At 38.2% G+C, this 22931-nt stretch overlaps 2 long non-coding RNA genes across 2 annotated transcripts in view; both read left to right on the forward strand.

The window, feature by feature from the left end:
- Positions 1–12977, forward strand: part of LOC124901692 (uncharacterized) — a 41815-nt gene extending 28838 nt beyond the window's left edge. Inside the window, exon 2 of the long non-coding RNA XR_007060420.1 lies at positions 12437–12977. This is a non-coding gene — a long non-coding RNA (uncharacterized LOC124901692). The remainder of the gene's footprint in view (positions 1–12436) is intronic.
- Positions 12978–13540: 563 nt separating this feature from the next.
- The window catches only part of LOC107986815 (uncharacterized), a 32906-nt gene continuing 23515 nt past the window's right edge, over positions 13541–22931 (forward strand). Inside the window, exon 1 of the long non-coding RNA XR_001745260.2 lies at positions 13541–13594. This is a non-coding gene — a long non-coding RNA (uncharacterized LOC107986815). The remainder of the gene's footprint in view (positions 13595–22931) is intronic.

Below are 22931 nucleotides of genomic sequence, written 5' to 3' on the forward strand. Positions count from 1 at the left end.
CCCCCGTAACCTGCATGTATATATCCAGATGGCCTGAAGCAACTGAAGATCCACAAAAGAAGTGCAAATAGCCTTAACTGATGACATTCCACCATTGTGATTTGTTCCTGCCCCACCCTAACTGATACAATATATTCTGCGCACCCCCACCCTTAAGAAGGTACTTTGTACTATTCTCCCTGCCCTTGAGAATGTACTTTGTACGCCTATCCCAAACCTATAAGAACTAATGATGATCCCACCACCCTTTGCTGACTCCTTTTTCGGACTCAGCCCGCCTGCACCCAGATGAAATAAACAGCCTTGTTGCTCACACAAAGCCTGTTTGGTGGACTCTCTTCACACAGACACGCATGACAAAATGTACACTTTGGCTGTGTTAAGGATTATTTCTCCCACCCTTTATAGTAAAAACAACTCAGTACCAAATAAATAAATAAAGACTAATCTGCACTTCTGTGGTTTAGCTTTTTAAATACTCCATGTGTGCTTTACATATACACTTACTATAAAATTCCTATTGTTATCATATGTTTAGTAATATTTTAATAAACAGTGACCAACTTAGGATTTTGGTAAAACTAAAATCTTTTTTTTTTTTTTTTTGGAAAATCTGGAGCCTTCTAGAGAAGTTTTAATGAAAATAGTGCAGAGAGAAAACATGCTTAGCAACATGATCTTAGAGACCTGAGATTGCCATTTGTACATTATGGGTTTTCAGGACACAGAGAGAAAACCATGTTGTGTTGGGATAACTGAAGGAACTACCCTACACCCGTTCTTCTCCAGGGCCCTTCTGGGAGCCAGTTTTATGGTGAATTTATTGGATGTTACTTCTCAGAGTGTATCAGAGATTCTTCACATTCATGGACTTTAATCTTCCCCTTGTCAGCTGCAGCCACAGTTCTATTTCTTTGCTCTCTGAATTCTCAGTGGTCTTAATAGTTCTAAAAAGTGAAAGCTTGTGTTCATTTAGTCAGTAATCACAGTTGGTGAACAGTAATTATAGCTGTAGTTTTTCTAAAAGGTACAACCAAGAGTTCTTAATCTGGAGTCTGTGTATTCAGATGTGGGGGGAGGGGAATATTTATTAAGCTCAAACTGAAAATGAGAATTTCTTCCAACTATAAAAGTAGGCTCTAAACCACAGAGCCATGGAGTACTACATTGTATTAGTATATACCTGTGACTGTCACACTAGAAACCTCTACTGATTTTTAAAATTTCCTCACATGGTATAGTTGTCTTGAAATATTATACATGCTAATTAGCATACTGAAATTATAGTAGTTATTTAATATATTAACAAATAATTTGCATATTATTATATAAGAAAACTTTCTTTTAAGACTCTGATAGCTGTATTTAAATTGCTTTTCAATTACAATTTAAATTAACTATTTTGTTGCTTTTGTAAACCTATTTTATGCATTTCTAAGCATTATTCCGAGGACTCCATAGGCTTCACCAGACTGCCAAAGAGGTTTATGGCACAGAAAAATTTAAGAACTTTTGCCTTAGTTCTTAGAAAGACAACTAAGATCTGAGGGCAGTAAATCATTTACTCCTTTAGAAGACTGGGTTATTTAGCACATTTCCTTTTAAGGGCATAGGTAAATGACAATAAGTAATGTTTCCATTTTCCAAAATGATCCAAGCTTTTTTTTTTTTTAAATTACTTTACATTTTATTTGTATTATATGTAACAACTCTTTTGCTATCACATTGAACAAAACTTATTAGCTTTTCTGCCAAAGGGTGCACTAGGTTATAATCATCAATCATTGGCAACTCTCAATTTTGGTTTTGCATGTGTGAAAATCTTTACTCTGCCTTTCTCATATATTGACCTACTGTATTTGATTTGTCACTGGAAATGAAAAGAAGCATGCTACCCTCAGAATGTTAGTGCTAGAAGGCACAAAGTCATTTTGTAAGACAAGAGAGGCAATAGAGGAAGGAAGGTCATGTAGAAAGAGTGTCATGGAATTTCCTTTACGGAAATGAAAGTGCTCCGTATTTCTATCGCTGTGCTTTTCATAATGGCAAATGATTCTGCTGATGGAATGGCTTTCTGAGTGTATAGGTGTGGCTGGATTAACTCTGATATGTCATGTAATTGCACTCCTCTGATGTTCAAGGCAAGCAGAGCTGATTATTTTTGCCTCTCTTTAGGGCTAATGGCTGCAGAATGCTCTTTCTTTTCTGAACTGGTTTTTAAAAACTACCAGTAACAAAATCTATGTACATATTTACATATGAATGTTTGAGTAGCAGAATCATGTTCATTCAACAACATTTGTTAAGTGCTGACTATCTGCTAGGGCTGTGCTGTGGACTTGGTTTACAAGCTAACACCATCAGCCTTCTCAATAGACCCCTTTTGTAACTTTACAGAGAGGCTGGAAGACATCGTGCTGTCAACTATGTTCTTCTCCAAATCAGATTTTTCTCTTCAGGATCACTTTCCTCCTCAGATCCCGTTCCAGAATCCTGTTTCTACCAATTTTACTCTCTTTTAAGCATTTTCAAATTTTGGGTTCACTGGTACTTTCTCCTGAAACCCCCTGTTGCCACAATCAGATCTCCAATATCAAAAAAAGGAAGAAGAAAAAAGCAAAAAATCTCATGGTCAGTCCTCTCTTTTCTGCTTTTCTTCTTTTAATTTACCTGAAAGACTTCTCCTTTCTAATCTGATATTCTCTCTCATCAAGCTACTGAAAATGCTCGGTCATTTTTCAATTGTGAATTTTGGTGACTATTCTCAAACTTAATTTTCTGACCTCTCTGAGGTGCTTAAAACAGTGACCACACTCTCCGTATAACTCCTTAACATCACCAGTGTGTACTGTCCTGATCTCCTCTGCTTTTTGTGTGGGTTTTTAGTCGTATTTCCCCCATCTATTTATTCCTAAACGTGGACCCTCCTCAAGGGTTTGTATTTGTCTTTCTTTTCCTCTCTTGGTACAGACTTAAGCTCATGTCAACTGTCAGCCCATTGAACAAATCCCATATCTGTACTTCCAGTGTTCTTTCCTCCTGGGCTGATAGACATTTTCACCAAGGCTAGGCAGATGCCTCCTTATTTATACCAGTCCTCCTCCTAATTTCAGGTTTTAGTTACTGGTCTTATCATGCTTCTAGTCATCAGGCCCCAGACTTGGGATAGTTATCTTTGACTCTTTCTCCCACTATCTCACATAATTGTTCACTGAGTTTATCCAGTCTACCTTCTCAGCATTTTCCATTCTGTTTTCTCTTTCTAATTGTGCAGCCTTTCCTTTGTCAAGCCTCATTCTCATTCCTGATTCCTCTTATCTGTCCTCTCCCTGTTCCCTCCCAATCCCATTCTATCCTGTACACTACTCCCTGGTTTATTTTCCAAACGCACTGTTAAGACTAGTCTGGAAAAACAAACAACAAACAAACAAACAAACAAACAAAACTGCCAACAAATCTACTGTTCCTGTACCAAACACACGCATACCTCATTTGAAACCCAGGCCTTGAAACTACTCTCTTTCCTCCAGTGGAGCAGAATGGGGAGGAGTTTTGAGGGTTTGCAGCTATCGACAACAGCAACAGGTATAGAAAATAACCTCCTCTACCTTCCTCCCTTCCTCTTTCACTTTTTTTCCCCTTTTGGCCACTGTATCCTAGTGAATGGGCTAATATTAACTGGTCCTATACAGATTCTAAAATATTAGTATTTAAGACCCTGGCTTTAACTATGGGAAACCAACTAAAGCTAGATGAAAGGAAATGAGACACAGTGCTAAGAATGTAGTTACATATCAAAGGATGGGAACAGGGACTGCAAAGTCATTGAGTACTCTTCTTGTGTTTGCTCCTTGATTTTCTTGTGTTTCTGCTTCACCCTTCTCTCTGTGGACTCTTTCTCTAACATTTGTTCTTAGGGTGCAATGTAGCCATTCATAGCTCCTAAATTCACAAGCTTTATTTCCTGGCATATGGAGAGACAAACTCTCCATATCTCAGTACCAATTCCCAAAGTCTTCCTTTAGAAAATCTGATTTTTTTCTTTTATCTTGGTTCAGTGTATACTTGAGGCCCAATTACCAGAGGCCTGAGTGGAGATGTTATGTGGTACAACATGGCTGCCCAGGCTGGGCATCCCTGAAAGATGAGGGGGAGGGTGATTTTCAGTGAAAGGAGAGGAGGCTAGTAGTTTGTGAGTTGAGAGGAGTTTCCAAAATAGGTTCATTCAAAACTGGGGCTCTGATATGGTTTAGATCTGTGTCTCCACCCAAATCTCAAGTCGAAATGTAATCTTCAATGTTGGAAATGGGGCCTGGTGGGAGGTGATTGTATTATGGGGATGGTTTCTCATGGTATAACACCATCCCACCTTGGTGCTGTTGTCACATTTGTGAGTTCTCGTGAAATCTGGTTGTTTAAAAGTGTGTGGTACCTCTCCCACTCTCTCTTGCTCCTGCTCTGGCCCTGTAAGATGTATCTGCTTCCCCTTCGCCTTCTGCCATGATTGAAAGTTTCCTGATGCCTCCCCAGAGGTTGAGCAGAAGCCACTACGCATCCTGCACAACCTACAGAACTATGAGTCACTTAAACCTCTTTTCTTTATAAATTACCCAGTTTCAGGTATTTCTTTATAGCAATGTGAGAACAGATGAATACAGGCTTCATGGTGGGGTAACAGAGAAAAACTGACTCCCCTACTTACTAGCTATGTGGCTTGGGGCAAGTCACTAAACTTGACTAATACTTCACGTGATTACTGGAGGAATCAAATGAGATTATATTATGAAAATATACTATGTAAATGGAAGAGAACTATGCAATAGATGTTTATTGTTATTATTGACATACTTGGTCAGTCTGGTAAGATACCTCTAAGAACATGGGAATGAGGAAATTAAGAATTTTCTCTTTATAGATAAATTGTAAAATTAGTCCTTGTGAAGGGCAGGAAGTCTTCTAGGCCAACAAGACTGACCTCCATTATTTTTGAATATTTTAACTTATCTAATAAGTGAATGTACCAATCAGAAAGGGGATGAATCAGACTGAAATCTTGATTGATGATAGATTCAATCAATCATAACTCCAATACTACTTCCTTCAAGAACTCTCTGATTATTTAACCAACAGTAGACTCTGTTTCTGAACTCCTGTGTAATTTGTTAAACTCCATGTCCAACTGTCATACTAAAAAAAATGTCATTAGCAGGCTTGTATTGACAGAAAGACAAGACATAAATACCCTTTGAGTACATAAAATGCATTTTACTCGTAGTAAGAATGCAGTAGAAAACAATGTTTTGATAAATGATAGCAAGATCAGCGGCAGCATCTGAGACAAATATTCAAACTTCCTATGACTTTATCTAGCCAGGAGTTTCACAATTGTGAGCACAGATTACAAGTCCTTCTGAAGGTGTAACTTGTCCCCTTCCATGCCCAATGCTTATGTATAAGGCTAGAGAAGTCTTATACATTGTCTAGTCTGTATATGTGCTTGGTACTTTTTTGCTTGGTCCAGGTATACCTCTTCAACCTCAGCATTATTTGATGAAACAACACAATTGTGGCAGTACGTTCATTCATTACTCTGAGACTCTTGAGACTAATTCAGCTGATCCAACCACATTCTTGAACTCAGGGCTGTAGAAGCAGAATAGGCATCAGTATCCCAGAATTATTTGGATTCACATTAAGAAACTCTTAAACCATCTAAAAGATTTTCCCCTAGAATTCTTAAAGCACTTTAACAAAAACATAGAGCCTTGTAATATTCATTGGTGTGCTATTTCCCTCATAGATTATAAATTTATGGAAAGAAGAGATTATACTTTATTTATTTTTAAATCTTCCATATGCCCAGCGTAAAGCCTTGTGTATAGCTATAAAAACAAAAATTATTAACAAATAAATCTTCATTATTAATATCTAAAACATGGATACCTACGTAATCCTTTTGCCTTTCCTGTTTTCTGAAGACTCCTACTTGTTCTTTAAAAAACTTAGATCATTTATCACCTTGTGTGTGACATCTTCCTGACATTCTGCAAGAAGCTAGTCATCAGTCTCTCCCACCCTATCCTCAATGGCACTTTAGACACAGCTTTACAAGGACTGTTTTAACTGTGTTGGAATAATATGTTCTCCACCAGACTGTGAATGTATCTAAGGCTTGGACCATGATTTATTCATTTTTGTGGTCCTTTCCAGTGGTGACAAGTAGGGCATGGCATTGAGACTGTTCATCATAAGTGCTTATTTAAGGAATGAGTCCCTAGGTGCTCCCTTTCCCATGAGTGCGTGGTATTGTAATGGAACCTACAGCGGTGTGATTAGTATGTCTTCTTATGTAGAAAAGCAACATAACAGTGGGTAAAAATATGGGCTCCAGAACTACATTAGCTGGGTTGAATTCTGGATCTGCTACTTACTAGCTGTGTGACTGGGGTAAGTTACTTAGCTTCTCTGTGCCTCAGTTTCTTTGACAGTAAAATGGAATATTAATATATCACAGAGTTGTACTAAATGAGATAATATTTTTAAGGTTCCCAGTAGATGTTGGCAATTATTATTAGAGAACTTTTCAGTACATGGCTACTGAATTCAGTAAATTGGGGAAAAAGTAAAGAATGGAATCAGGTATTTTGCCTCACTTTAAGAATGACTTTACTTATTTTTTCCTTCCATTAGTTTCCTCACATGTTTTTACCTTTCCCTTCCTCTTCTTACTTTTCTAATCCTGTTCTATTTCTTCCTCTTAAACTGAGTGGGAGGAGGTGGTAGTGATAATCAGTGTCAGAATTGGAAGTTGAAAAAGCAATCGTTCTTGGAAGTCACTAGATTAAGCAGAGTAGACTATAGTAATAATAAGAATTTGATATATAGGAGTCATTTGGAAAGGATTCCTGGATGTGGGCCTAAAAGGTTTCAGGAGGAGTATCCAAAAATTAAAGGAATATGAATTGGCCAAGAGATGAAATACATTTGATATATTTTACCCTTGTTGGCTATTTCATCATTCTTTACTTAAAGCAAATAAAATGCCACTAACATTTTGGATAAGCTATACTTCCTTAGCTAAGGGAAACCAACTAAAGCTAGATGAAAGAATCCAGGGCTCCAAAGCTGAGATTCCCTTATTTATAAAAAGGTTTACACTTCGAGGTGTGCACTCATAAATCTTCTTCATCTTTTGATTTTTATGTTAATCCTAAAATCTCTTTTGGCAAAATTTTAACTTCTTTATGTTGATTGTAATTTGATCATTGGTAGTTACATAAAATATGATGTAGGCAGGGCTGTTTGCATTGCTTTGTCCTTGAAATTCTAGGTATATTTGACTGTCTCTCTTTAACTACTTGTAGTACAGTCATTGTATACTATAGACCAGAACTACAGAATTCTTGATACTTTTTTTTTTTGCCATTTTTCTCTAGAAATTCATTTTTGTACTAGAAGAGGACAGTGCCAAAATATGCCCTCTTTAATGCCTTTAGCTTAACCAGGTTAGTTCATTACAAAAACAGGTATTCACGTAGTTAGCCTAAATTTTAAGTGTGTTTCCTCATCCCTTAAGTAATACTGTGTTTCCTATATAATCAATTATTTGGGAAATCAAGAGGGCTGAGGTAGAATACAAGGGTGGCTATCATGCGATTATGTTTGGATGAGGTAGATTTCAAGTCTGGAATTAAGACTGATATGCTAAATGCATTATTCAAGCACTGGGAAAAAAGCCTAAAGTTAAAAAAAAATTAAAGTAAATCTTATATGAAGTAACTTTGTGCTTAGTAAGTAGAGTGTTTGCTTTGGGGAATAAGATGAACATGAGAGAGAAGCATATATACTATGGTAATTGGAAGCTGCAACAAAACTATCCACACATGACTGGAAATGGATTCTGATGACACATTAGCCTCAAAGGTGAAGCTTGAGTGGCTTCTAAGGCCATCAAAACTCAAGGATACGGGAGCATACTTATTTACAGTGTTCTTTTATTAAAGATGCTGAAGGGATGGCTCACAAGGTCAATGTGAGACACATTTTAAATGAACTGCTCTCCTGGTTTTCTTCAAGGTCCTGCTTACAAAATATGCCTCATTTAACAGAGGCACCCAAATCAAATGTCCTTGTTTTCTTTAGTTTTTTCAGAATATCCAAGCAGAAATTGTTGAGCAAATCTTTCATTTTCATATTTTCTGGAATAGTGTATTTATTTAATTATTTTAAGGGATATATTGTTTCTTTTAACTTTTATTTTAGGTTCAGGGGTACATGTTCAGGTTTGTTATATAGGTAAACTTGTGTCATGGGTGTTTGATGTACAGATTATTTTGCCACCCAGGTATTAATATTAAGCATATTACCCAATAGGTATATTTTTTTCTGATCCTCTACTTCCTTCCACCCTCCACCCTCAAGTAGGCCCCAGTATCTGCTGTTCCCCTAAAATATATTTTAAAATTACTTTTAACTACCCAATTTGAGTATATTGGTAGATTTTTGCCACAAAATTTAATATGTCAACTCTGGAATTAGTAAAAATATCAGTCTGTTTATGGATACATGTTCATTATGGAGAACTTTACCAGTGGTAAGGTGATGGGGCATATGGAAACTTTCATTGAGTAAGAGATTGAGAGGGTATTTCTGTTTTCTCTGGTTATTCCCTGTGACCACAAAAATCAGGAAGTGGTGATGAATAACAGATTCAAAGATCTAAATAACTAACTAAATTTTACTTAACAAACTATAAAATATGGTACTTGCTTATGAACCAAAAGTTCAGATGAAGAATGAGAAGGTATGAATTTAAAAGAACTTCTATTTAATACCTTTTTAAAATTTGTTTTTAAATTGTGGCAAAATACACATAACAAATTTACCATTTTAATTGTTTTTAAGTGTACAGATGAATGGCAGTAAGTTCACGCACATTGTTGTACAACCTTCACCACCATCCATCTCCAGAACTCTTATTTAGTACTGTCTTTTGAGGTGAAAGTCCTACCCACCAATTATGAAAATCAAAGAGTAGAGCTACCTTAAGGAATATAAGAAATGGGAATCATGACTAAAGGTAGAACTTACAGACATACATTTGGCATGAGTAGAAAAAGATGAACAGGCAGGTCCACCATATTTCAAGTGATTTCATGCTATAAGTACTATTTATATACAAATACACTTAATCTGGCCTGGCATCTGATGTCCGTACAAAATGTCAACTCCTAAAACCTTGGAATATGTTTAATTGTCAAGGATTAAATCAGATGCTGTGCTGTGTGCTGCTTTGGCCACAAATTGGATAAAAGGGCAGGGGTTGTTATTTCTGTTCTGGGGCTCGGCTCTTCTTAGCTCCCAGAGGTTTAATGACCCCTTCTTGCTATAACCTCATGTCTCCCATGTCCATAATAGGCAGAAGAACTTTAGGTCATAGAGAGGCCTTTACTTTCCCATGTTTTGCATGGTCAGAGAAGTGCTGAGAATGGTGAATAGTTGACACCAGGATTACAGATCAGGGTAGTCTAATGAAGTTGGAAATATGCAAGAAGGTCTGGAAGAGTCTCTGTTTCCCTTCATACCAAGCCAGAGTTTTGATGGCAGTGGCTGCTGCCGTGATGCCCATGGGCTGCGGCGGGGAATCATGGATGGGGCTGCACACTCCATGGAGCCAGTGAGAGCCCTGCCCCTTCTGAATTGGGATGGGAGCTCCCCATGCTTCTGCAGCCACCCAAACTGCAGCTGCAGACCCAGGCCTCCTGCTCTAGGGAGCAAGCAGTAGCTCCACCCAGGAGGGACTGCAGCTGAGGATCGAGCCTCCCTGTGCTCTTGTGGGAGTTGGGAACAGGCAGGATCTGCCTTCCCTGGTGCAGCTGCAGCTGCCTCACCTGTGGCTGCAGACCTGGGCCTCCCACTCCAGGAAGCAGGCAGGAGTCTGGGACAAGCTCGGGAGCACTGCCCCTTCCAAGTTGGCTGGGCAGGAGCTCCTGGGTGCAGCTACAGCCTGCAGCCTGCACCCTCGGGGACCCCAGGAAGGGCCCTCAACTTCTTGCAAGCTTGAGGGTGTCTGCTCCCACTGCCTGGCCTCTCTCCACTCCCCAGGCACCTGCTCCGATCTTGGAGCGGGAGTCAGGGCCAATATCAGGGGCCATGAATGACAGCAGGAGGCAGGTTGATTCCTGGCTGGAAGGGGGCTGGTCCCTAGTAAGGCCCCACCTTCAGGCTAGGGAGGGCCTGAAGGCTGGGAGCCAGGCTGCCAGTCCTGCAGACTAGAGTGGGGACTCCTGGTGCCTCTTCTGGGCCCACCTGTGGCCACTCATGGACCAATCCGAGCACTTCCTCCCCTCTGAGGCCCATAAAAGCACTGGGCTCAGCCAGAGAAGGGCAGAGGATGGCCAGAGGATGAAGACAGCAGAAAAAGGACAGGACAGGATGACCAGGTGCAGAGAGGAGTGCCTTCTCTGCTGATAGCTAGAGAGGATGGGAGGACTAGCAGAGGCGACCTGCCTGCAGAGAGGAGCTACCCTCCAGGGCCACCTCTCTGCAGAGAGCTGAACACTCTACTGGACAATCTGTCTACAGAGAGGAGCTACCCATTCCTCTGAGCTGTTCCAACACTAAATAAAACTGTCGTTCTTCACCCTTCACTTGTCTGTGTACTTCATTCTTCCTGGACACAGGACAAGAACTTGGGCAAAGGCACCATGGCCACACAGAGGTTTCCAGCTAGAAAAATCAACACTGGACACTCCAGAGATCCAGTAACAGTTTGATGCTAGTACTACAGGGCAGAACTGAGCTTAAGATTGGCTGGAAATGAGAAGAGCAGATCTTTTCCCCCAAGTAATTGTCTCATTGTAAGAATTGGTTATATAGTATTTTCAAAATTGTAGGTCATGATGGTGAAATTAATAATAGATTACTGCAAACATTTTAACAAACTGAAATAGAAGAGAGTAGAAAACATCATGAGTACTGCTTCATGAAACTTTCTTAGTTGTATGTATGTGTGGGTGTGGATATGGGTATTGTAAGTGGGTGTTTGTGTGCAATGGAACATTTATTTTTTACCAAGAGTCACTGAGAAAAAACTTTAAATCCACTGAGGTCAGGAACCACTTGCTTCTAATTTTTACAGAGTCTAATTTCCCCAAGGTATTAACTAACATCTGGATGTAATTAAAGTATATCTGTATACTTTTTTCTCAGCATACTTCTGGTTACAAATAATTCTTGTTAACTCAAGCTAATAATAGAGCATGAGCCAGTATGTGGGAATGGTAATTCACTACTAAAAATAGCTAGTATTTACCATATTGCCCAGTTTTGTTCTAAGAGTATTATATGTATTGATCCTTACTACAATTCTTTGGGAGAGGAAACATTATCATCCCCATTTTACAGATGGAAAAATGGAGGGCTTGAGATCTTAATTATCCAAGTTGACATAACTGGTAAGTGGCCAGATGGGATTCCAACCCAAGCATCTGACTTCAGAGTTCATGACCTTGACCACTACACTATGCCACCTTTCACTATACTAAACAGAAGTATTTTGTAAACAAAAAAATTTTACATTTATAATATCACACTATAGACTTGAGTCTTTGGTAACATCTGGTTCAAGTGATTGAAATAATGTTATCACTGTCCTTTTCTGATAATTCCATTTTAGAAAATATTTGCCTTGTTCCTTAATCATCAGTGTGGTAAAAAGATGCAGTGTGACCACTGTCTAAAGTTAGGCTAGCTTATAGTTCATTTTCCTGTATGTGAAGAGAAACAGTATCCATGAACATTGAATAGTGTTTATTAAACAAGCTAATTTTTAGTTTGAAGTCTCATTTAGATGTTTTCTATTGGCAAGTCTCTGCATAATGGGGTCCAGAGAGTGACTATGCCATTCTTTCAACCACAAAACAGGTAAGGGGTATTGCATGCCACTTTTCTGGCATTTTACTGTCTTAAGACTTAAAAAATCAAACAAAGTAGAGTTAGAATTTAACATGAACTATTTGAAGCGATCTGCCTTAGATGGCTGAATTATTTTGAATAGTAAATGTTGTATCATTTACAAACAAGGCCTCATTATTATCCTCAGGACTTATTATTTCTTGTTGCTCCAGAAGACTTCCAACTGCCAATGTCTGCATCGGTGTGCCTGAGGTCTGTTCCTGAACCACTCTGGCTGCTCCTGTGCAGTTGGCCAGAATTTCTCAGGTGTTAACAATCTTGAAACAGTCCTTCAATCACTAATAAGACTCATATATAAATATCTCAGTTTCCTCATTCCTAGGATTAGATGGATTAATTCTGAAATATAATTTATAATTTCCCTGCCAGATTAAATTCCAATAACCCAGTATGGCAGGTGGTTTTGGTGAATTATAAACTAACCACAAATTCTCCTCTTGCCTGTCATGTGATATTGCAGATGCCCCATCAAAACATAGAGTCCATTTCCTCAACCTTGAATCCAGATGGACTTGCTTTGTTCATTGGGAGATTAGCAAATATGACCCAATCAGAGGCTTGAAAAGTGCTTGCATGTTGGGGCTAGTTTTCTGGAACCTGAGAATGCCCCCTAAAGGAGTCCAAGCTAGCCTGTTGGAGGATGAGAGATGGAGACTGAGAGACCAGCTATTCCAACTAAAGCCACCTAGACCAACCATTAGACATGCACCTGGCCATTGAAGACAAGTAGACCTGGTAGAGTGTCCAGCTGAATGTAGATATCAGCTGAGACAGTCCAGGTAGGAAGAACCATCTGGATGACTCACAAAAGTGAGAGAGACTATACATGTTTGTTTTTAAAGTCAGTAAGTGATGGAGTGGTTTGTTATGCAGCAGAAACTAACCAACACATTTGCTTGCCAGCTTACTCCCCATTGGTTGCCTTCCTTTCCCTGTATCTCTTTCCTACTCTGCTACTGGAGTTTCCTGAACCTCCCAAATAAATGTTCACTTAAATCCTTGCCTCAGGATCTGTTTCTTGGGGGACCCAAGCTAAATAGTCTTTATTTTTTATACTCACTGAAGTCTTTTTCCTTAAGAATTCTCGGTAGAAATTGTGAGCTGTTAAGAGACACTGAACAAGAAATAGAGCAAAAACAGGCTTCCTCTTTGAACAATTCTGCAGTGGTCAGCTTTGACGAGCTCACAGGTTGGAATGTTCTCTCCTAGAATGTCATACTCTCTAATTCCCCTAAATCAGAGTGTAAAGTATGCCTTTTGTTCTTCTCCAGCACAATAGTAAAAATCCTTTATAAGCCATTAGATCTGGGAAAATTTGTCTTCCTAGGCTTAAGTGGAAGTGCAGATTTGATCACATTCCTATTTGCAATGAATGAGGAAAAGGTGGCTATTTCCATGGAGCTTCACTATGATTCCCTTCTTCTCTAACCAATTTATGTTCAGTGTGATTTGAATGAAAAAAGAGAAATTTAGAGAGAAATTTAAAGAGAAGTTTATAAGCTTAGCAGTGGTTTTATGAATCAATGAAACACAATTTCCTTTGGATTTTTTTCTAGGTAGCAAAAACAGAAAACAGAGTTATTGTAACTAGATTGCCAGAGAGCAGAAAATTTACCAGGTAAAGTTGCAAAGAAATACTAGTTGTTTTTGATATCATGGTGTGTGTGCGTGTGTGTGTGTGTGTATTGGGGAGCAGGAAAGCTTGGGATAGTGAGAAATAAAAGAGAGGAAGATACACTTATAGGACAGATATATTCATTAACTTGCAGATATATTGATTTTATAAATCCTTTAATACAAGCAAAATAATTTTAAATGTGGTTATGTGAATCAAATTTTTCCAAATCTTTGTTTTTTTCACAAACTATGTGGTGATTATATGAACCTAATAATGTAACTCTTGAAATATTTATTACCATAAGTAAAAAATTAGTGTAGGGATTAAAATTATCAATGCTTCTAAAACCTGTTCTGTTTATGCCACTTCACAAAGAGCACTATTTACCAGAGGTACAGTCTCCTGTTCTTGATTATTTATTCTACCAGCATCTTTCTCTAGAGAACTTTCGCATTTGCTTGACGTACGACTTTGGGGACTATTAATATTACTTTGGCTTCCCATTGTAGCCCTCTGACACTGCTTCATTGTAAGAGTGGTTGTTATTTATTATCATTTCAAGGTGGCAAGATAGGACAATATCTCTAAGAAGTATCACACAAATTATTCTCTGTCATTGCAATGAATAGTTGCTTTCTTTTCAATCTTCTGGGGCATACAAAGTACATTTTCTTTGGCATATAGTTTCAAAATATATAGTATTTTTATTAAAACGTAATATGCATTCATTATAGCTGATTCTGGAGTAAAGGTATAACAGCAATAAAATAATCAAAACTATATGTATTTCAAATAGTTAAGGGCAACTTAATAACTAAATAATCACTAAATTTCCTTCCAAAATTTTTAAAGTAAAAATGTACATTTATTTTAAACTTAACTGGCATTATACCATATTTAAAAGATAGAATACATTTTAAACTTAAAACTGGACTGTAATTACTTTTCAAACCTCTAAATATTTTAACATCATGTTAATGGTTTCATTGTATCTCCCTGCATGGATGTTCATGACTTGTTTTACTCAGCCCCTATTACTAGACGTATATGTCATTTCCAAATTTTCATGATTATGATTACACACAATGCCGACATCCTTGTAATGAAATCTTTCTAGTCATCTATTATTATTGTCTTAAATTCCCATAAATAAAATTACTACATCAAAAAGTACTACATTTTTGAGACTTTTGATATATTTTTCTCTTGAGGAGATCATACCTATTTGCATTTTCAGGGCAGATGCTTCAATAGAGCTAGCAAGCCTGCCATCTTTCCCTCCTTCCCGAGTCTCGTCTCCCTCCCGCACCCCAGCCTGAGACTGCCCTTGCCAGAACTCATTACTCTGGTTGTAGCCATTAAAACCACCTGACTTTCTATCTTTCAGAGACTCTCCCTGTTCTTAAAGGCTCAAGGTGCTCACTACCTGGTCCTATGGCACATGCGTGCTAAAATGACATCAGAAGGAAGAGCTGCTCCCTTTGTGGGCTTTAGCCTACCACGACTCTTCTCCTGGGGGCTATGCCTGCTGTTATTGTTCAACTTGAGGGACATGAGGGGTGAAAGAAAGTCATCCACAATCCTCAACACACACTCTTGATACTCTCCCTCCAAATGAAATATCTAAGTGCTTAGATTTTAATCATTTGTTTATTCATCTAATTAATAAATATCATTTAAGAACTTTCTATGTGCTAGTCACTTTACAATGAACAAAAATATACCAATTCATGAACATAATGGAGATTACAATCTAGTAGGAATAGATAATTAGCAAATATGCAAGTTTTCTATGTATATTAGGTGTAACATATAACCCATGTTATAATGTGTAACGTTAGGTAGTGACAAGTACTATGAAGAAAAATTAAGAAGAATATGAGAATAAAGAGAGAGAGAGAGAGTGAGAGAGAGAGAGAGAGCAGGGCTAGTTTTCTAGATGACAGGTCAGGGAAGGCCTTTCCGAGAAGATGGCATTTGAGCAGAGAGACCTGAAGGACGAGAGAGAATAAGCCATGCAGGTATCTGTAGGACATATTGATGTCTGGATCAAGAAACGGTAAGTGCAAAGGCCCTGAGGTGGGAGTGTGCTTGAGAAGAATAAAGAGACCAGTGTGTCTGGATGGAGTAAATGAAGAGGAGAGTAGAAGGAGATGAGGTCAGAGATGACCAAGAGTTAGCTAAGGTAAGTAATATAGGGTTCTGCCAATGTAAAGACTAGATTTTATTTAAAATGTGGTTTGAAGCTATTGGAGGCTTTTAAGAAAGAAATGACATGACCTATTAAGAACCTTCTGTTGCTAAAGTAGATTTTTTTCCATTTCTGCCTTTGTCATCCTATCCTGCAGCATCGAGACAGGTGTCGGTTTTTCAAGCTTTCTTTTGCTTTTAGCAACATTAGCATGTGGGAAACAGTTTACATAGGCAGACATTCTCTCTCTGCCAAAGATATAATTAAGATTTCTGGGGCTTTATACAAAACTTCACAGAGAACTTGGAGTAGTTAAGTTTCTTCGGACTTCAAGTAAGAGAATCCCAATTCAGATTGCTTTACCAAACTCCTTGGAAAATAGTATGTCTTTTAGAATCCAAGGAAGAGGTGCTTCTAGGTCTTGGGAGACAGGGTTGCTCTGGGGCTGCAGCAGCAGCCAGTTGTGGTCCCTTTTCTGCAGTTCACATTATTGAGACCAGCAATCTCTAGGTCTTTTGATTTAAAAGTCCAAATTGTTGACAGAAAGAATGTGATTGGCTCAGTTTAACCCAAACATCCTTAAGAAGGTAATGATAGTAGAAACACGACTGCTCTGAGAAGACCTCTGTGGGTGAGGTGTGGTTCCCGACAACAAGACACATCACGTACAGACAACCTTCTAGGGATGGCTCATGACTACTCTGTGGCCAATAACTAATATTCTTTGTGTGTACACTTTGATGGAGTTAAGACCCCTAATGCAGCAGTGTCTATGCAGCTGCCTTGTCTCTCTGCTCTCTTTCTCTATAGAGAGTTGATATCCTAGGCATTTTGAGTGCCCTCTCCTTGATAGCAGGGGGCAGTTTTATCCCATTTTGTATTTTCTCCCACAAAATAAACAGCAGAACATATTATTGGTGTTTAATTTTGCTTTGTACTCTGTGATCCTTCATGATCCTGAAGCTGTCCTGCGATGATCTAAAACGGCAGGTTCTATTTTATATTCTTAAAAGATCGGTTGACAAGTCGGCAGGCAGATATAGTTTTATTACCAAGAAATGTTTCCCTGCTTTCACACGTACTGTTGTGCCAAGAACATGGAATTTAGAGTCAGGAGACTGTCTTAAGTATGGTTCCTGGGCAACCCTGAGATGGAGATTTGTGAGCAGGATGTTTACTGGGGATTGGTCTGGGGATCAGCACCTACAAGAGGTAAGGGAAGCAAGACTGGGCAGAAGGAGAAACTGAACTATGATGGAACTACAACAGATGCTTCAGCTGATCCTATAGGGATCTCTGGAACTAGGAAGGCCTTTCAATATTACCTAGAGTTGAAGCAAGGAGGCAGGCCTCTATATCTTACAGTGACTGACTAGTTGGGGGATAGCACCCAACCCTGGGGAGGATGCACAACTCTGGGGGATGCAGCTCCCTTAGGCCTAAGGCAATGCCCAGAGAGGGATGCATCTGTGAGCTGTCTGTCACCCATCCCACCAGCAGCTGAAAGAATGAGTGCTTTGCTCATGATGGGCAGGGTAGGGATAGGAAGGGTCTGGTTGTTCTCCATATAGCACCTATTCCAAAAACTTAGATTCCATTCTGCTCTACCATACTAGCCTGTGAGACCTTGGGCAAATCCTTTCTGTGAGTCATCATGGCCTCATTCAAAAACTATGAACCAAACCAAACCAACTAACCTCATTTTAAAAATAGGATTACATAAACAGTGTTGTGAGCACTGTTGAGGACACTTTCACTTATGGTATATTGTTTAGTTCTTCCTGTAACTCTGTGGCATGTCTGTTTTAGGCCAACTTTATGGATAAGGAGGCAGATCCTCAAAGAGGTGAAAGCAGTTTGCTTGAATTCATATGGAAAAAATCATATAGAAAGTGCAGTTCCAGATCTTTTGAAATTAAGTCCTTATTTTGGTCAATTTGCTAGAGCCTCCTCTCAGCAACAGAAATAACATTAATAATACTAATATTGGTAATGACAAATAATGTTTAATTTATATGGTTGTTAGGAGGATTGAATGAAAGATATTTGTAAATTATAAGTTGCAGAAAAAAAAGTGAGTCAATATAAGTGTTCTTCAAAATTGCTTTTTTCCGTCAATAAGAAATGAGTATGGTTTAATCAATCTTGTAAAGGTGAGGGAAAGTTTACCCGGGGTCCTGGAAAATCTCTGTCAGCCAACCTCTAAAAGGCACAGGGCATCATTCTGTTTCCAACTGGACCCTTTAATTGACATTTGGACCCTTCCGCTTCACTCTTTGAGAGCTTAAAAAATTCAGCTCACATATTCTGAGCTGCAGTTTATGAGGTCTGTGCTGTAGGGGAAGGACATGAAAGAAATTTTGTCTTTCAGGGATAAAAATAATACCAATTGGTGACAGTGACAGAACTCCACATACTGGAAGGAGAGGGACATTTCAAGAACCTTGCAACACCAGCAGAGCTTGGAGGCTCTGTGAGTCTAGTCCGATGCTTAAATTGTCAGTTGACTTACAGCACAGATGTCCAGTTAGTTTTTGAACTTTATGTGCTTTGATTCTCAGGATCATGTTTTGTTTTTTGAGACAGTCTCACTCAAGCGATTCTCGTGCCTCAGCCTCCTGAGTAGCTGTGACTATAGGCATCTATCACCACGCCTGGCTAGTTTTTGTGTTTTTAGTAGAGATGGGGTTTCACAATGTTGGCCAGGTTGGTCTCGAACTCCTGACCTTTAGTGATCCGCCCACCTCAGCCTCCCAAAGTGCTGGGATTACAGGCCTAAGCCACTGTGCCTGGCCCTCAGGACCAATTTTTAAAAGTTGAAGAAGTAATGGAAAATAATGAGTCTGTGTTGTCTCTACCAATTTGAAAAGACTGTCTGTATATGTAAGGTTTCTTTTTCCAAAGGCATGAAAGTATTTTATATGACACACAAAATCCAAAGGACACAAAGTTGTTTTGAACCCACACATGATCACAGACATATTTTAAGTCACTTTGTAAATGATTCATATTCATGAAACTTAATGCAAACTCAACAGCACATTTAAATTTAAGTTGAAATAGGCTGTCTCCACATTATTGTGAAAGCCTACTTTTACTCATCGTATAGTTACCTTGCTAGAAAATTGCATGTTGAGATGGAATTTTTACTTTCTCTTCTTTCTGGAAAATAATCAAATGCTGTTACTAGAGTGTACTATTTGGTCAAAAGTATTGCTCCATAAACATTAGGTCTGAAGTTCTAGGTTTTCCCATATTTATTTCCCCAGTCTGGATTCATTTAGTAAATTCCAGATTCCCCAGTGTACACTGCAATAGAGGTCAATGGATTCTCATGTCACTGGTTTGTTTACTTTTTATCTCCACTTGACCTAGATTAAAAAGTCAAGGTTTTTTGGTAAGAGAAATTATCTGAAAAGGAGCTGTAACATTTTGGTGATGGTTAAAATGAATCTAAAATTTCTATCTATGTAATTGTGGAGAGATTGGAGTCCAAAAGATTTGGTTAGTTTGTTTAATCACAGTTTCACTGCTTGGCTGCAACCATGGTATGAAAATGTGTCAATTAGGCCTGTGATTCTTATCATTCTGTGAGCCACTGTGGATGTAAATGACTGACTCATTTAATTATGCTTTGGATGTATAGACCTGGCTAACGTTTTGGATGTGATCTGGCATAATACATCAAATTGTAAAGCAATTCTGATATACATGTCACAACTAAAGACAATTCTGATTGTAGTTTGTAGCAGAGAAAAAATTCATAAATCTTAATAATTTTACTAATTAATAATTAGTGAATTTTGAACATGTTTTTATTTTCCCTTTTTGTTCCCAAGACTATTATTATCCTTTGACTCAGAATTGTAAACAAATGAAAGTGCTTTCTAGTGTAAAACGCAAACCACATTATATCAAGCACATTAAAAAAATGCAATCTCATTTTCACTTTCTGAAGTATATAAACAATTGTTAACCTTAGGAATGGACATAATAACAGAAGCATCCTTTATGTGTGTGCTCTAGCCAGAATTCCAAACTTAATCTGAAAAATGTAAATACAATTATCTATCTTATAACACAGGGTCAAGCTTCTCAACCTCGGCATTATTGACATTTTGGGCTGGATAATTCTCTGTTGTGGGTGCTGTCCTGTGCTCTGTGGGATGTTCAGAAGCATCCTTGGCCTCTGTCCACAAGATGCCTATAGCACTACCAACCTCCCTACTTTACCAGCTGTGATAACCGAAAATATCCCCAGACATTGCCAAACATCCAGGTGTGAAGGGAGGGGCAAGATTGTCCTCAGTGGAGAACCAGTGCATGGCTAGCTTTCCTGGGTTTCACAGTTTAATTCATTATTAAATTTTAAAGGCAGAATTCACCTATGGAAAATGTAGGAAAAATCTCTTTGCTGGGAAAATTTCCCCCCAAATAGGACTATATTATATATCTATACATCTCTCTGATAGATAGTGGCCAGAAAAAATGTCTTCTTGTAAACTTTCTAGGCCTATGATTCAGATACATTTAGAGGAACAGGGATTATAAAGCCTTTCTGTTTTCAGGGAGACAGAATTCAATGGCATATCTTTAAAATTATCGTTAAAGTAACGAAAGTATAAACTGAGTAATTCTCATATTGACTTCATCTCAAACAGGAAAATATCATTTAGATTTAGAGAGCAACAGGTTGTCAATAGCTTTGGGAAATCTCTAGGTGTACCTAAATATTTATGCCAAAGAGCTTGGGAGTAAAATTACGCCTCTGCACAATAATGCTGCAGTGGAGAATCATGTATTCATCCTTTTGTCCACATATTTTCTTATTTATAGTATCCAAGTGTAGCATTGAGAGTATCATTATTGTTAATATGCCCCTGTCAACAAATCATCATGTATCCTGTTTTATTTTTCATTTTTTGTTTTTGGTAAGGTTATTTCTATTTCTATTTCTATTTCTCGAGAGTAAAATAAAAGTGAATTCACAATATATTAGCCTTAGGATTTATAACTTTTATGCATATATGAAAGTATGTGTGCATTGGCTCTTGGGAAGACACCCGTTTGCCTTAGTTCTTATGTGTATTTACAAGCACCTCCCCACCATGTCATCTGCCTAGGGCAGGTATGCAGTCCATTAAAAGCAAAAATATTTTCAAGATCTGTTGAGTTTTAATTCAGCCAGAACCAGATTCTATATCAAAATGCATTTTAGAAGTCAGAGGATCCAAAAGTTACAATTTACAGTCATCTTCCTCTCTCCTGTCAATCTCGGGTTCAGCTGTGAATGCAGCAGTCTGACTTGGATAGCTGCTGCCTCTCCTCTTTTTGTGCTGCTCTGGCCTCCAGGATACCCATTCACACTTACAGCCACTTGCCTGCCCAGGACTCTCTGTGGAACTGCCCCATGTTAACTCTGAGCACCCGGGCAAAATCCCTATTAGTATGTTACCACACCCTCCTCCCCCTTTAAAGCTGAAGAGAGTTCAAATTTTTCAAAATTCAGTGGAAATAAAAGCTACATAGTGAAAAATCCTGCATCCCATTCTTGTCCTGCATCTGCCCATTTCTTATCCTCCTCCAGCCACAGTTAACCACTGTTGTCAGTGTTTTATGTGCCCTTCCAGAATTAAAAAAGTGCATATACAAATACTGATATATTGTTTTCTTCTCTTTCCTATACAAAAGGGAATGTGTTGTACATCATGTACAACACCTGGCTTTTTTTCACTTAGCAATTTTTCTTGGGGGATCTTTCCAGAGTAGCCCACAGGAAGCTGGCTTATTCTTTTTTATAGACATTCAATTATATGAATGTACAATAATTTATTTAACCATTCCCCTATAGATGGACACTTGAGTTGTTTCCACTCTTTCATTATCATAAACAATCAGCAATGAGAAACATTTAACTATTATTTTTTACATGAGTGCAAGTATGTATGTAGGATAAACTCACAGAAGTGAAACTGTAGGGTCAAGGGGTAGATGCAGTTGTCATTTTGATAGGTATTGAAAAAATACACTCCATATGTGTAATCTGAGCAGCAACATATAAGAATGTCTATTTCCCCACAGCGTGGACAACAGAGTGTTAACACAATTTTAAATTCTCACAATGTAATGGGGAAAAATGGTATGGTTTTAATTCACATTTCTCTTTTCATGGATGAGGTTGAGATTTATGGTTGAATTTTGAATGGGCCTTTTGAATTCCTGTTAGATGTGCTCCTTGAACATTCATAATTTTAAGCAGTATGAAGTCATATGGGGGCTGTTTAGAAGGTAAGATCCCACATAAGACCCTCTAGCTACTACTGACTCTCTAGATGTCAAGGTTGACACAGCTCAGAGAATGTACTTAACCTATGTTATTATATTTCTCTTAGAATGAGCCTAATATTTATCTATCGCATGACTAAATTTTATAAACTACTAATTTGTATTTTGATAATTTACGTATTCGAAGACTACCTGTCTTATTACATCATTTGTCTTTATTTATGGTGCCAAATGTTTTCTCTTTCCTGCGTTAAGTTCTTTGGAATTATGACTAAAGGATAATGCTTTTCCATATGGCACACCTGAAATTCTCCCTCAATTTCCATCACATGAAAAACAAAAAATGGAAGATATTTATGCCAAAAATTGTCCTCCGAGTATCATTCTCTCCACTGCCTTCTCTTCTACAGTAATGGCTAGAGTAGATGTCAACAAGTGAATGTGTTCATGTAGACATTCAACATTTAAGCAATATTCACTGAGTGTCAACTATGTGCCAGGCACTGCTCTAGGCACCTAACTATTTCTGCTACAGCCAGCAAAGACACATATTTGGATATTCATCAGATTTACCTACATTGTGTGTGAGTAGGAAGAAATATGCACGTATAGCACGTATTGTGCAACTAAAGATCAAGACTGGCAATTGGGACACGTGGTTCTATTCTTGGGTCTGTCATTATCTTGCTGTGAGTATTGAGCAAATCCTTTCATCTCTATGGGCCTCAGCTTTCTCATCTGTGAAAAATATAATGTTGACTAGAATAGATGATATTTACATCCCATCTAGTTTTAACATTCCAAGAACACAATGCCCATATGCTACTTTTACAATTAAAAAAACACCCCAGAATCCACACT

The sequence above is a fragment of the Homo sapiens genome, chromosome 7, assembly GCF_000001405.40.
Source record: "Homo sapiens chromosome 7, GRCh38.p14 Primary Assembly".
NCBI classification, from domain to species: Eukaryota; Metazoa; Chordata; class Mammalia; order Primates; family Hominidae; genus Homo; species Homo sapiens.